The 17066-nt window shown below is 39.1% G+C and overlaps 1 long non-coding RNA gene across 1 annotated transcript; it reads left to right on the top strand.

Annotated features, from left to right (window-relative positions):
- The first annotated feature begins 1195 nt into the window (after positions 1 to 1195).
- On the top strand, positions 1196 to 15112 carry LOC124901269 (uncharacterized). Its single transcript, XR_007059481.1, has 2 exons — positions 1196 to 1233; positions 14565 to 15112. It is a non-coding gene; the product is annotated as an uncharacterized LOC124901269 (long non-coding RNA).
- Positions 15113 to 17066: the final 1954 nt, after the last annotated feature.

Below are 17066 nucleotides of genomic sequence, written 5' to 3'. Positions count from 1 at the left end.
AAAATCCCTCAGCATTTGCTTGTCTGTAAAGGATTTTATTTCTCCTTTGCTTATGAAGCTTAGTTTGGCTGGAAATGAAATTCTGGGTTGAAAATTCTTTTCTTTAAGAATGTTGAATATTGGCCCCCACTCTCTTCTGGCTTGTTGGGTTTCTTCAGAGAGATCCGCTGTTAATCTGATGGGCTCCCCTTTCTGGGTAACCCGACCTTTCTCTCTGGCTGCCCTTAACATTTTTTCCTTCATTTCAACTTTGGTGAATCTGACAATTATGTGTCTTGGAGTTGCTCTTCTCGAGGAGTATCTTTGTGGCATTCTCTGTGTTTCCTGAATCTGAATGTTGGCCTGCCTTGCTAGATCGGGGAAGTTCTCCTGGATAATATCCTGAAGTATATTTTCCAACTTGGTTCCATTCTTCCTGTCACTTTCAGGTACACCAATCAATCACAGGTTTGGTCTTTTCACATAGTCCCATATTTCTTGGAGGCTTTGTTCATTCCTTTTCATTCTTTTTTCTCTAATCCTGTCTTCGTGCTTTATTTCATTAAGTTGATCTTCAATCTCTGATATCCTTTCTTCTGCTTGATCGATTTGGCTATTGATACTTGTATATGCTTCACGAAGTTCTCATGCTGTGTTTTTCAGTTCCATCAGGTCATTTATGTTCTTCTCTAAACTGGTTATTCTAGTTAGCAGTTTCTGTAACCTTTTATCAAGGTTCTTAGCTTCCTTGCGTTGACTTAGAACATGCTTCTTTAGCTCAGAGGAGTTTGTTATTACCTACCTTCTGAAGCCTACTTCTGTCAATTTGTCAAACTTATTCTCCATCCAGTTTTGTTCCCTTGCTGGTGAGGAGTTGTGATCCTTTGGAGGAGAAGAGGCATTCTGGCTTTTGGAATTTTCAGCATTTTTGTGCTGATTTTTCCTCATCTTCATGGATTTATCTACCTTTGATCTTTGATGCTGAGGACCTTTGGACTGGGTTTTTGTGTGGACGTCCTTTTTGTTGATGTTGATGTTATTGCTTTCTATTCATTAGTTTTCCTTCTAACAGTCAGGCCCCTCTTTTGCAGGTCTGCTGGAGTTTGCTGGAGGTCCATTCCAGACTCTGTTTGCCTGGGTATCAGCAGCAGAGGCTGCAGAACAGCAAAGATTGCTGCCTGCTCCTTCCTCTGGAAGCTTTGTCCCAGAGGGGCACCTGCCAGATAGATGCCAGCCGGAGCTCTGCTGTATGAGGTATCTGTTGACCCCTGCTGGGGTGTCTCCCAGTCAGGAGGCACAGGGGTCAGGGACCCACTTGAGGAGGCAGTCTGCCCCTTAGCAGAGCTCAAGCACTGTGCTGAAAGATCTGCTGCTCTCTTCAGAGCTGGCAGGCAGGAATGTTTAAGTCTGCTGAAGCTGCACCCACAGTCACCCCTTCTCCCAGGTGCTCTGTCCCAGGGAGTTGGGAGTTTTATCTATAAGCCCCTGACTGGGGCTGCTGCCTTTCTTTCAGAGGAGGAATCTAGAAAGGCAGTCTGGCTACAGTGGCTTTGCTGCGTTGCAGTAGGTTCCACACCCAGTCTGACCTTCCCAGTGGCTTTGTTTACACTGTGAAGGGAAAACCACCTACTCAAGCCTCAGTAATGGCAGATGCCCATCCCACCAAGCTCGAGTGTCCCAAGTCAACTTCAGATTCTGTGCTGGCAGCAAGAATTTCCAGCCAGTAGATCTTAGCTTGCTGGGCTCTGTGGGGGTGGGACCCATTGAGCAAGACCACTTGGCTCCCTGGCTTCAGCCCCCTTTCAGGAGAGTGAACAGTTCTGTCTCGCTGGGGTTCCAGGCACCACTGGAGTCTGGGAAAACAAACAAACAAACCCAAAAACTCCTGCAGCTTGCTCAGTGTCTGCTCAGGTGGCTGCCCAGTTTTGTGCTTGAAACCCAGGGCCCTGGTGGTGTAGGCATCCAAGGGAGTCTCCTGGTCTCAGTTGGAAATGCAGAAATCACCCTTCTTTTGCATTGGTCTCAGTGGGAGCTGTAGACTGAAGCTGTTCCTATTTGGCCATCTCCCAGAATCTCGTGTCTCTTCTTATAAAGGCACTAATCAGATGCATGAGGGCCTCCATCTTCATGACCTAATCATTTCCCAAAGGCCCCACCTCCAAATATCATCACATGTGAGTTTATGGCTTCCAATATCACCCTAATACCAAACCCAGGAAAGGACATAACCAAAAAATAAAACTACAGACCTACAGACCAATATCCCAGATGAATATAGATGCAAAAATCCTTAACAAAATACTAGCTAACCAAATCCAACAACATATCATCAAAAAGATAATCCGCCATTATCAAGTGAATTTCATACCAGGGATGCAGGGAAGGTTTAACTTATGCAAGTCAATAAATGTGATATACCACATAAACGAAATTAAAAAAAATCACATGATCATCTCAATAGGTCCAAATGCATTTGACAAAATCCAGCGTCCCTTTATGATTATAACTCTCAGCAAAATTGGCATAAAAGGGACATACTTCAATGTAATAAAAGCCATCTATGACAAACCCACAGCCAGCATAATATTAAATGGAGAAAAGTTGAAAGCATTCCCTCTGAGAACTGGAACAAGACAAGATGCCCACTCTCCCACTCTCACCACTTCTTTTCAACATAGTACTGGAAGTCCTAGCCAGAGCAATCAGACAAGAGAAAGAAATAAAGGGCATCCAAATTGGTAAAGAGGAAGTCAAACTGTTGCTGTTTGCTGATGATATGATAGTATACATAAAAAACCCCAAAGACTCCTCCAAAAAACTCCTAGAACTGATAAAACAATTCAGCAAAGTTTCCAAATAAAAATTAATGTACACAAATTAGTAGCTCTCCTATACACCAACAGTGACCAGATTGAGAATCAAATCAAGAACTCAACCCCTTTTATAATAGCTGCAAAAATACATAAAATACTTAGGAATATACCTAACCAAAGAGGTGAAAGACCTCTACAAGGAAAAAACTACAAAACACTGCTGAAAGAAATCATAGATGACACAAACAAATGGAAACACATCCCATGCTGATGGATTTGTAGAATCAATATTGTGAAAATGACCATACTGCCAAAAGCAATCTACAAATTTAATGCAATTCTCATCAAAATATCATCATCATTCTCAGAACTAGAAGAAACAATCCTAAAATTCACATGGAACCAAAAAAGAGCCCACATAGCCAAAGCAAGACTAAGCAAAAAGAACAAATCTGGAAGCATCATATTACCTGATTTCAAACTATACTATAAGGCCATAGTCACTGAAACAGCATGGTACTGGTATAAAAATGGGACATAGACCAATGGAACAGAATAGAGAACCCAGAAATAAACCCAAATACTTACAGCCAACTGATCTTTGAAAAAGCAAACAAAAACATAAAATGGGGGAAGGACACCCTATTCAACAAATGGTGTTGGGATCATTGGCAAGCCACATGTAAGAGAATGAAACTGGATCCTCATCTCTCACCTTTTACAAAAATCAACTCAAGATGGATTAAGGACTTAAACCTAAGACCTGAAACTGTAAAAATTCTGAAAGATAACATCGGAAAAACCCTTCTAGACATTGGCTTAGGCAAGGATTTCATGACCAAGAACCCAAAAGCAAATGCAACAATAACAAAGACAAATAGCTGGGACTTAATTAAACTGAAGAGCTTTTGCATGGCAAAAGGAAAAGTCAGCGGAGTAAGCAGACAACCTACAGAGTGGGAGAAAATCTTCACAATCTATACATCTGACAAAGGACTAATATCCAGGATCTACAATGAACTTAGACAAATCCACAAGAAAAAGAGCAAACAATACCATCAAAAAGTGGGCTAAGGACATGAATAGACAATTCTCAAAAGAAGATATACAAATGGCCAACAAACATAAAAAAATGTTCAACATCACTAATGATCAAGGAAATGCAAATCAAAACCACAATGCAATACCACCTTATTCCTGCAAGAATGGCCATAATCAAAAAATCAAAAAATAATAGATGTTGGCATAGATATGGTGAACAGGGAACAGTTCTCTACTGCTGGTGGGAATGTAAACTAGTACAACCGCTGTGGAAAATAGTGTGGAGATTCCTTTAAAAACTAAAAGTATGTCTATCATTTGATCCAGAAATCCCACTCCTGGGTATCTACCCAGAGGAAAATAAGTCATTACACGAAAAAGATACTTGCACACTCAAGTTTATAGCAGCACAATTCACAATTGCAAAAATGTGGAACCAAACCAAATGCCCATCAATCAAGGAGTGGATAAAGAAACTGTGACACATGATGGATATATTAGTCTGTTTTCACACTGCTGATAAAGACATACCTGAGACTGGAAAGAAAAAGAGGTTTAATCGGACTTACAGTTCCACATGGCTGGGGAGGCCTCAGAATCATGGTGGGAGGCAAAAGGCACTTCTTATGTGGTGACAGCAAGAGAAAATGAGGAAGATGCAAAAGCAGAAACCTCTGATAAAACCATCAGATCTCATGAGGCTTATTCACTACCATAAGAACAGTATGGGGGAAACTGCCCCCATGATTCAAATTATCTCCCACTGGGTCCCTCCCACAACACTTGGGAATTACGGGAGTACAGTTCAAGATAACATTTGGGTGGAGATACAGCCAAACCATATCATTCAACCCCTGACCTCCAAATCTCATGTCCTCACATTTCAAAACCAATCATGCCTTCCCAATAGTCCCCCAAAGTCCCAACCAATTTCAGCATTAACCCAAAAGTCCACAGTCCAAAGTCTCATCTGAGACAAGCCAAGTCCTTTCTGACTATGAGCCTGTAAAATCAAAAGCAAGCTAGTTACTTCCTAGATACAACGGGAGTACAGGTATTTGGTAAATACAGCCATTCCAAATGGGAGAAATTTGCCAAAACAAAGGGGTTACAAGGCCCATGCAAGTCCAAAATCCAGTGGGGCAGTCAAATTTTAAAGCTCCAAAATGATCTCCTTTTACTCCAGGTCTCACATCTAGGTCACGCTGATACAAGAGATGGGTTCCCATGGTCTTAGGCAGCTCCACCCCTGTGGCTTTGCAAAGTACAACCTCCCTCCCAGCTGCTTTCACAGGATGACATTGAATGTCTGCAGCTTCTCCAGGTGAATGGTGCAAGCTGTCGGTGGAGATACCATTCTGGGGTCTGGATGATGGTGGCCCTCTTCTCACAGCTCCACTGGCCAGTGCTCCAGCATGAACTCTGTGTGTGGGCTCCAACCCACACTTCCCTTCTGCACTGCCCTAGCAGAGGTTCTCCATGAGTGCCCCACCCCTGTAGCAAACTTCTGCCTGGACATCCAGAGGTTTCCATACATTTTCTGAAATCTATGTGGAGGTTCCCAAACTCCAGTTCTCGACTTCTGTGCACTCACAGGCTCAACATGTGGGAGCTGCCAAGGTTTAGGGCTTGCACCCTCTGAAGCCACGGCCAAAGCTCTGCATCGGCCCCTTTCAGCCAAGGCTGGAGCAATTGGGATGCAAGGCACCAAGTCCTTAGGCTGCACACAGCACAGGGACCCTGGGCCCAGCCCACAAAACCATTTTCTCCTAGGCCTCTGGGCCTGTGACTGAATGGGCTTCTGTGAAGACCTCTGACATGTCCTGGAGATATTTTCCCCCATTGTCTTGGGGATTAACATTTGGCTCCTTGTTACTTATGCAAATTTCTGCAACTGGCTTGAATTTCTCCTAAGAAAATGGGGTTTTCTTTTCAATCACATTGTCAGGCTGCAAAATTTCTGAACTTTTATGCTCTGCTTCTGTTATGACATTGAATACCTTTAACAGTATCCAACTCACCTCTTGAATGCCTTGCTGCTTAGAAATTTCTTCTGCCAGATACTGTAAATCATCTCTCTCAAGTTCAAAGCTCCACAAGTCTCCAGGGCAGGGGAAAAATGCTGCCAGTCTCTTTGCTAAAACATAACAAGAGTCGTCTTTGCTCCAGTTCCCAACAAGTTCCTCATCTCCATCTGAGACCACCTCAGCCTGGACCTTATTGTCCATATCACTATCAGGCTTTTGGCAAAAGCCATTCAACAAGTCTCTAGGAAGTTCCAAACTTCCCCACATTTTCCTGTCTTCTTCTGAGCCCTCCAAACTGTTTCAACCTCTGCCTGTTACCCAGTTCCAAAGTCACTTCCACATTTTCAGGTATCTTTTCAATAGCACCCTGCTCCTGGTATCAATTTACTGTATTAGCCCATTTTCATGCTGCTGATAAAGACATATCTGAGACTGGGAAGAAAAAGAGGTTTAGTTGGACTTACAGTTCCACATGACTGGGGAGGCCTCAGAATCATGGTGGGATGCAAAAGGCACTTCTTACATAGTGGTGGCAAGAAAAAGTGAGAAAGATGCAAAATCAGAAACCCCTGATAAAACCATCAGATCTCATGAGACTTATTCACTATCACAAGAACAGTATGGGAGAAACTGCCCCCGTGATTCAAATGATCTCCCACTGAGTCCCTCCCACAACACATGGGAATTATGGGAGTACAATTCAAGACGAGATTTGGTTGGGGACACAGCCAAAACATATCAATGGAATACTACTCTGCCATAAAAAGGGAAGAATTAATGGCATTTGCAGTAACCTAGATGAGATTGGAGACTGAGAGTTATTTCTAAGTGAAGTAACTCAGGAATGGAAAACCAAACATCGTATGTTCTCATTCATAAGTGGGAGCTAAGCTGTGAGGATGCAAAGGCATAAGAATGACATAATGGACTTTGGGGAATCAGGGGAAAATTGTTGGGAGGGGGTGAGGGATAAAGGACTACAAATTGGGTGCAGTGTATACTGCTTCGGTTATGAGTGCACCAAAAACTCACAAATCCCCACTAAAGAACTTACTCATGTATCCAAACACCACCTGTTCCCCCAAAAACCTAGGGAAATAATTTTTTTTAAAAAAGAGATTAGGGCTTCAGCATATACATTGGGGGCAGGACAGGGGGACAGAAACATTCAGTCCATATCACTGCTTCTTTTTCTTCAGTTTCCTTACCAGTAAAAATTGGTAAAATGATAATAATAGCACTTATTATATAGAATTTTTAAAGAGAGGATTAAGTATATCAATATGTTTCTAAAGCTCTTGAAATAGTCTCTGGCACATAGGAAGCACTATTTAATTTCTTGATCTTGTTGAAGATTTCAAGGTTTGCCAAAGAATAAGAATTATGTGAGAGGGGAGCCATATAAGTTCTGGCCAGGAAAATGCTAGAAAAACATCATACAGTACACATTTGATATTTTGCCATTGGGCAAATCCAGGCTACATTAAAGGAAGCAATTGATTGAGTTTTGATGCCTATTCCCCCACTTTTGCTGCCTTTTCTATTTGGGTGACAAGATAAGTCCTCTTCTTCAGATATCTCTGCATCCCAGCCTCTTCATCTCAAGGATCTTGATCATTATCCCCCATTAGCTAATGTACAGCTGTGAGACACAGTAAGTGGAACCTCCATTATTTTTCAAATGGGAAAACATGAAGCACTAAAATATATAAGACCTGGTACATGCACTTTTGCCTTCACTTGTTTAAATCCTTCTAGGTCCAGTCTTTCTTGTCAAATCTTCATTAATCATGGTAGTCCACATTAATTTCTCCTTTTTCTAAAACCTATAACACATTCATCACTCAATTATGTACTTTATATAATTATATTCTTGATATTCTGGTTCTCTGTTTCATGCATATTAGTTATATTTCAGCAAGGATATTGAACACTTACTAAGGCTTGGAACTATATCTTGCACAGTTATTTCCATTCCTCTTCTAAAACACCTGATGTTGAGCTCTGAGAGACAGGTCTTAGGGATACGGAAGGTAACGAGTGGAAGAAAATTCAGCAGTCTGTGGCACTCTCAAAAGTAGTTGGGAGCCTTTTCCTGGGGTGCAATATCAACTAAGCACATGCAGCTTCAACAGCTCTGGGCCCTGGTAAATTTTAGCATGGGAGTTTATAGTGAGCCCACCACGATAATACTGTTCCTTCCAAACTGAGCAGACCTGTCCTTTGATGAATCTTTGTCCTGATAATCATTGCCAATCTGTGGCCAATAGAAATCTGTTTTCCCTCCCAAGAAATGTTTGGTGTTCCATGCTAAAGAATGCTTTATTGCCCTAGTTCGCTCTGGCTCCATAAAAGTTAGAGCTAAATCTTCCGAAAAGCTTGCACTGTTATATTTGAAACTATAGTATTAGTCTAATGAGCTTCAACGCAGTTGGAATTGGATATGAATGTAAGCAATGATGATTATATTTTATTTTCTAACTCCTGACTGGTCCAGCAGCATGCACCATTACCTACTCATTCACACTAATGATTCATAAATAATTTATTCGTATGGAATGTACTCTATTTGGCCAATTACAGTGATTCGTGGTAGATTGCACTTTGGTTTTACTTCATCTGACGGCATATGCTTGTTTTGCAATGTAGAGCGCAGATTCAGTTCCAAATTTCCTTTCCCACCATGGTCATAATGAACTGAAGCCCACCTTACATTTATGTTTCACATACCTTTTGCGTAACTCATTTTGCCTCGTTGACCTTCACTTCAACTTTCCCTTCCTATATGAAATTAGCATTTTTAGAACAGGTGATCTCTATATTTAATCACCTCTGCTCTTGATGTTGCCCTGAGACCATAGAGTGTAGGGATTAAAAATAAAATTTCAGGTGTTGGACACTGGTTGCAGATCATGGCTCCACTGCTACATGCCTTTGGTCAAGTCATTTATCCCCTTTAAGCTCATTTGCTTCATGTATAAAAAGTAGTAATATGTCCCTCATAGGGTCATTGTGAGGATTAAAGGAATTAAAACATTTCTAGTCCTCAGTGCAGTGCCTGGGACATACCAAATGCTTGGTAAATGTCAGTTATGATTATTCACTTTTCCTCTGGTCATTGGCAGCTCTTTCCTCTGTATCTGACGACTCCACCTGCTCCCTCGCCAAACTAGCATAGTGCTAGAACAAATGGAATGTTCATCCAAGACTCATGATTGATTGTTGGTGATGTTTGTGTCATAAATGATATTAGTCCACATTTGTGTCAAAAGGAGGAATTATAATTGCCTCCACATGCCCTATGCCCACTTTCTTAGGATGCTCTGCCCTTGGTTGGTAACCTTGCTAGGAAATTCCTTGACTTGGCATCAACTTGCCTTTGTAGCCAACCTATGATTCCTGCAATCTCAAGCAATGCTAGTCTTCCTCCTCCTAGAGGCCTCCCAGGGTTGTTCATCAACACAATGTCCCCACCTTTTTAAGGATTTCCAGCATCAGTGTTGTAGCAGAGTCTATTATTTGTCCCCTAACTCCTCCAGGAAGCCTACCAGGATTTATCAGAGGAGGTGCAGTTCCTCAACATTGTTCAGGAACTCATTGTCTTAATCATCAATTATTTAATGAGTGAATGGTAAACACATGAACATTTCCACCAATCCCTAAGCAACCACTAATCTGCTTTCTATCTCTATGGATTTGCCTCTTCTGGACACTTTATATAAATGGAATCATACAAGATATGGCTTTTTGTGTCTGACTTCTTTCACTTAGCATAATACTTTCAAGGTTCATCCATGTGGTAGGATTTACTAGAATTTCATTCCTTTTTATGGACAGATAATATTTCATTACATGCATATGCCACATTTTATTTATCTTCATTAGTTGATGGACATTTGGGTTGTTTCCATTTTTTGGATATTATGAAGAATGCTGCTACGGACATTCATGCAGAAGTTTTTGTGTACACCTTGGGATTTCCTAAGTATATATTTTTAACTTCTTATTATGGGAAATTTCAAGCATATCTGAAAATTGAGGAAATAGTATAACTATGGTGTATCTATCATCTAGCTTCAAGAATAATGATTAATTCATGTCCCACCTTATTTCACTTATAACCTACTCTTTTCTCATTGCTTCCAGATTATTTTATGGCAGATTCCTGACAGCATGTTGCTTTATCCATAAATATTTCAGGAATTATTTCTAAGGGTTTTTTCAAAACCTTTATTGAGATAAAATTAAGGTATCACAAAATCCATTGGTTCAAAGTGCACAATTCAATGGTTTTAATGTATTTTCATATTTCCCTAATGACTAATAATGTTGAGTATTTTTCCTGTGATTGTCAAATTTTTGTCTATCTTCTTTGGAGAAATGTCTACTCAGATTCTTTGCTGCCTATTTTTAAATTGAGTTATTTGTCTTTTTATTATTGAGTTGTAAGTGTTTTGAATATATTCCAGATATGCATCCCATATCAGATAACTGATGTGGAATTATTTTCTCCCATTCTGTGAGTTTTCTCACTTCTTGATGGTGTTTTCTGAGGTACAAAAGTTTTTAATTTTGATGATCTCATTCATCTATTTTTCTCTTGTTGCTTATGCTTTTGGTATTATATCTAAGCTAATGTTCCCTATCCCAAGGTCATGAAGATTTGTTTCTCATTTTCTTTTAAGAATTTTATGGTTTTTAGCTCTTTCACTTAGGTCTGTGGCCCATTTGTAGTTCATTTTTGTGTACAGTATGAGAAAAAGGCCCAACTTGATTTTTTGTATGTGGATATCCAATTGCCCTAGCACCATTTGTTAAAGGGACTATTCTTTGTCCACTGAAAAAGATCTTAGGACCCCTATCTAAAATCAGCTGATTAAGGGTTTGCTTCTGGACTCTCAATTCTATTCTATTGGTCTATACATCTATTATTATGCCAGTACAAGACTCTCTCGATTACTGTAGCTTTGCAATAAGCTACAGTTTTGAAATTGGAAAATGTGAGTCCGTTAACTTTGTTTTTCTTTTTCAAGATTGTTTTTGGCTATTTTCAGTGCCTTGCAATTCCAGAGGAATTTTAGAATCAGCTTGTCAATTTCTGCAAAGAAATCAAGTGGGATTTTGATAGGGATTATCTTGATTCCATAGATTAATTTGAGAAGCATTCCCACCCTAGCAATATTAATTATTCTTATCCATGAATGTAGGTCTTTTTTCTATTTATTTAGGTCTTTAATTTCTTTCAACAATGTTTTTGTAGTTTTCAGCATAAAAGTCTTGCGCTTCTTTTGTTAAATGAATTCTGAAGTATTTTATTCTTTTTGATGCAACTATACATGAAATTATTTTCTTAATTTTATTTTCAAATTGTTCATTGTTATTGTATAGTGATAGAATTGACTTTTATATATTGATCTTGTATCCCAAAACCTTGGTGAATTTGTTCATTAGTTTAGTTTTAATCTTACCACTTTACCTTGAACTCGATTTTGGAATTGATCATCTTGCACAAGTCTCTTCCAAGATCCTGGGAGGGCCCCAGCAATCTGTTCATATGTTATAGTTCTTTTAAAATTGATGCATAATTTATGTAAAATACAATGCACTAATCTTAAATGTACAGCTTGATGAATTTTTACATATATTTACATCAATATAACTACTCCCAGATCAAGATATAAAATATTTTCATCACCCCAGTAAGTTTCCTCATGCATGCTCCTTTCCAGTTAACAAGCCACCCTCCACCAAATAATTCTTCTGACTTTCATCCACTTAAATTAGTTTTTCCTATTCTGAATTCTATATAAACGATATTATGCAATTTGGCTCCTTTGGATCTGTCTTTAATGACCCAACATAATGTTTCTAAGGCTTATGCCTGTTGTTTCATGCACCAGTAGTTTTGCCTTTTTTTTTTTCCTCAGTAGAATATCCAGAATTTGTTTATTCATTCACCTGTACATGAACATTTGGGTTCTTTTCAGATTTGGGCTATATGAATGAAGTGACTATGAACATTCTTGTATAAGACTTTTGATGGTGACTACTCATTTATTTTGGATATGTACATATTGCTAGGTCATGTTAACTTTATTAAAAATTTCTGACCATTTATTCAAATGGGCATGCCATTATACACATCTATCATTAATGTATAACAGTTCCAGTTACTCCATCTCCTGCTAACACTTCATATTGTTAGTCTTTTTTACTTTTAGCCATTCTAATGGGTATTTGGTGGCATGTTGCTTAGTTTTAGCTTGCTTTTTGCTGATGCTTAATGATGTACAACAACTTTTCATGTGTTTATTAGTCATACAGATAACTCCTTTGGTTAGTTCCTCATTGAAGTCTCTTGCCTATTTTTAATTGGGTTGTTTGTCCTTTTATTATTGATTTAAAGGAATTATTTTTATGTTCTGGATTGCAGTCCTTTATCAGATATATGTCTTATCAACATTCATTTTGTAGCTTGCTTTTCATTTTGCTAACTCTGTTTTATAATAAGCAGAAGTTCAAAATACTTCCTGATTTTCCTTTTGATTTCCTCTCTGACCCATGAGTTATTTAGTTATTTAAAAGTGTGTGATTTAGTTTCTAAGTATTTGGGGTTTTTCCAGATATCTTCTTGTTATTTATTTCTAATTTAATTTCATTGCCATAAAATATACTTTGGGTGATTTGAATACTTTTAAATTTATTGTGACTTGTTTTATGACCCAGAATATGGTCCATCTTGGTAAATATTCCATGTGCTCTTTAAAATAGTGTATATTTGGCTATTATGAAGAGGCATGTTCCATAAATGCTAGTTGGGCCAAGTTGGCTGATAGTGTTGTTCAAGTCTTCTCTGTCCTTGATGAGTTTCTGTCTACTTTTTCTGTTAATTACTGACAGTGGTTGATATCTCTGATTGTAATTGTGGATTTTTCTCTTTCTCCTTGTAATTCTATCAAACCTTTGCATCATGTATTTTGAAATTCTGTTGTTATTTGCATAAATGTTATATCTTCTTGATTAATTGACCTCTATCATTATGAAATGACCCTCTTTATCCCCAATAATATTCTTTACTCTGAATTCTCCTTTCACATGATGTTAAGATAGACATGGTGGTCTTGCTTTTCAATACAAACTGAACATTTTTGCCTTTTAAATGGGGTGTTTAGACCATTTATATTTAATATGATTATTATGGATGGACCATATCAAATTTCTAATTGCTTTATTTTTGTCCCAATCTGTTCTGTTCCTCATTTTCTGCCTTCTTTTGGGTTTATTGTATGTTTTAAAAATTATTCTATTTTATCCTTTTATCTCTATTTTCTGTTTTCTTTTGGATTTTTTCAGCCTTCCTTTATTATTTTAGTTTAGCTCCTTTGTTGCTTAATAGGTACAACATTTTGTGTTTGTGTTTTAGTGGTTGTTTTAGGACTTATGTTTTACATTTTAAAATTATCACAGTCTACATTCAAGCAATATTGTATCACTCCATCCATAGCAAAATAACCTTACTGCAGTTACTTTAATTTCTTGCCTCTGGCCTTTGTAGTATTATTGTCATGCATTTCATATAACATTATTATTTTTGCTTAAAAAATGCCTTTTCTTTTTTTGAGACAAAGCCTTTCTCTGTTGTCCAGGCCAGAGCGCAGTGTATAATCTCGGCTCACTGCAACCTCTGCCTTTTGGGTTCAAGTGATTCTCATGTTTCAGCGACCTGAGTAGCTGGGATTACAGGCATGTGCCACAACGTCAAGCTAACTTTTGTATTTTTGATAGAGATGAGGTTTTGCCATGTTGGCCAGGCTGGTCTCAAACTCCTGGTCTCAAGTGATCTGGCCGCCTTAGACTCCCAAAGTGTTGGGATCACAGGTATGAACCCCCAAGCCTGGCCTAAAAATACCTTTTTAAGAGATTAAATATGTTTAAAAACTCTTATATTTATGCATATACTTGCCATTTCTGGTGTTCCACATTCCTTTGTGTAGATCCATATTTCCATCTAGTATTATTTTTCTTCTTCCCTAGGTACTTCCTCTAATATTTCTTATAGTGTAGGTCTGATGATGATACACTCTTTTAGCAACTCACCTCTATAATCTTAGTCTCAGTGGGTTTGGAGATCCTATTATTAGCCAATGGAAGAATGCTTCCACCAGGGAACAAAGTAGTGTTTCCATTAGATTGGGTGCTGAAATTACTTACTGATCATTCAGGTCTTCACATGCCAGAGAACTAACAGCTAGGGGTCACTGTACTTTCTAGAATCACCAGTATTGATTTCCTAAAGGGAAACTGGGTTGCTGCTATGCAGTGTGGGCAAGAAACACTATGTCCGGAACCCAGTAGATATATTGGAGAGCCTTTTAGTACTTCAGTCTTGGTCAATGGAAAATTGGAGCAACCCAGTATAGACAGGACCACCAACGACTCAGATCCTATAGTAATGATGGTTGGGATCACCTCACAATGTAAAGAACTCCAACCAGATGACATGTTGGTAAAGAGTAAGAGAAACATAGAATGTACATGGAGTAAGGAAACTATGAATAACAACTTGGGCCTCGTGACCAGTTATTGAAACAAGGACTGTAGCAGCTACATTTTATGCTAATTACTTTCTCATTTTCTTCTGCTACCTTCTTTGCAGATCACTGCTGTTAAATAACTTTATCATATTATATATCTCACATAACAGAATTGCTGATGGAATTTTGTGCATCTGTCCTGTTGGAGAGAGGAATTTTTCACTGGAGAAAGCTCAAGCATGAAGGCTGAATGGTGGAAGAAGTAGGCTCTGATGGACATTACAGTTTATCCCTCCAGATCCACTTTCCTTCCCCAGGCCACGCTCCATCCTGCTCTGTGCTTCACCAAGTTGGCCTGTATGGGCTATGCTGGTGGCTTCTTTGCATTCTGTCCTTTGGTTGGGCCTAGCCAATGAGAGGCACTGGTAAGGGATGAGAGGGTGGAGAAGAATGAGGTTGCATTATATATTCTCTAAGCTCATTCTCTGGTGGCCTGCCACGAATTGGCCACCTCACTCCACCAAAAGTAGTTCTTTCTGTCAGGTAGCCCTTTCTATGAAACTACTCTCTTTGAGTTCAAGCAACTTCTTCCTCCTCTTACACTTTAGATCAAGGGGTGGTAACAGCTCCTAGCCCTTGCTAGCCTGAGATTGCTGTACAAATTTACTGGTTTTCTTGATGTCTGCCTACACATTATTAAACTCTTCTCATTATCCAAGTTTGTAAATGCCTTCTATTTCTTGCCAGGATCCCAACTGATATGGTTAGCCTGTGGATTGATTTCTTTAAACTCATGTTTTCACCCCTTGTCCCATCAGACATGGTCAGGAGCTGTAAGTTTAAATACCACAAACACAACTGAAGGCCAGCCCATGCATTTCCAGTGAAAACACTTTTATGAATAGAGGGTGTTGGCTTGACGGAGATCCCAAACTTGGCATAACATCCAGGAGACAAGTTTAGACATTATTTTCACTTTATTTTGTAATAGCCCTGAAATTACTCAGTAGTGATGAGGATGTTGTTGGTGCAGTGGCAAGGGTGTTGTAATGAGATATCCCTGGTTATCGTCCTTGGGCTGTGAGATAGTGATAGGTGAGGAGATGGGATTATTGCACTGGGAATCGGATAGATTTTCAACTACTGATGGAGACAGCTTGAAGAGGGAGAGGAAGGGATGGCAAAGAACTGAGGGGACTTCTAACTACACCTTTATTTGCTTCTCAAAGATAGAGGGTGGCCCTAAAAATTAGGTCTTAGAGTGTTGGCAGGGTCGGGGTCGGGGGTTGGTGGGGGGCAGGAGGGGCTACAGGTAGAAGCTGATTAGAACTGTTTTTACAAGAGACCCTGAGAGATGGGTAGATCTGCTTTGTTGCCAGAAAGTCAGAGTATCACCCAGTTGCCAGCCTCCCATTTTTGTGAATAATGTGGCACAGCCCTGGAACAGTCAGTATTTTGAACTGTAATAGTTAAAAGCTATCTATAAAAGTTATCTAAAGACATCAGTGCCCTGGTCATGAAATCTGCATCCCCATCCAGAGGGAACCTGTAGTGGCAGAAATGGCATGCCAGCCCCAGGAGGCAACGTGGACCATGGACATCAGCGAGGAGGGTGGGGCTGGGCACATATGAGGGGTTCTTCGTGGGCAAATGTGTGGTACCTAGGGGACTCCCGGGAGTAAGCGTGGGAGGTGGAGAGCTGGATTAGCCAAATAGTGGAGATAAACTATAAAGTCTGAATTATTTCTAGTACTATGACCTCATTCATAGCCACAGCCTGAGTGTAGGAGCATTAGGATCACACAGCCACGTGCTCCTCTGTCCTCTGGGCAATCTTAGTTCTCTGTCCAAAATTTTTTTCAGACTTCATGTTGTCATTTTGAGACTCTCTTTTCCCATCTCTTCCTTCACGTGGGACCTGGAAATTCCTGCCAATATATTTTCCCAGATTTGGTACCCCTTTATTTTATTTATTTTTACATTTCTCTTTTGTTTTTATTATTAATTTTTGTGGGTACATAGTAGCTGTATATATTTGTGGGTTATTTTGAGATATTATGAGATATTTGAGAGATTAATATATGAGTTATTTTGATACAGGCATGCGATGTATAATAATCACATCAGGGTAAATGGGGTGTCCATCCCTTTAAGCATTTAATCCTTTTTATTTCAAACAATCTGATATACTCTGTTATTTTTAAATGTGCAATTAAATGATTTTTTTACTATAGTCATTCTGTTGTGCTAGCAAATAATAGGTCTTATTCATTCTTTCTAACAACTTTTTTTGTATCTGTTAACCATCCCCACCTCTCTCCCCCACCCCACTACCCTTCCCAACCCCTAGTAACCTTCTTTCTACTCTCTATCTCTATGAGTTCAATTGTTTTAAATTTTAGCTCCCACAAATAAGGGAGAACGTGTGATCTTTTAACACCCTCTTATTAATAGCCAAGTTTTGGTGATTCATTAGTGTGCAAAGGTAGTACCTTTTCAGTTCCTACTATGTCATTTTCAGCACTGTACAATGCATGGGCTAGTGTATAAACATTTTAGGTCAGTTGAATTCTTTCTATTGTCTTTGGGTTTAGTTTTTCTCTCCTTTCAGATATTTACTTCTCCTCTGAAGAACAAGGCATAGAGTAGAAATTATTTCTACAAATATTATT

The sequence above is a fragment of the Homo sapiens genome, chromosome 6, assembly GCF_000001405.40.
Source record: "Homo sapiens chromosome 6, GRCh38.p14 Primary Assembly".
NCBI classification, from domain to species: domain Eukaryota; kingdom Metazoa; phylum Chordata; class Mammalia; order Primates; family Hominidae; genus Homo; species Homo sapiens.
The sequence above is the reverse complement of the archived record's forward strand: the minus strand, read 5'-3'. Positions and strand labels throughout refer to the sequence as shown.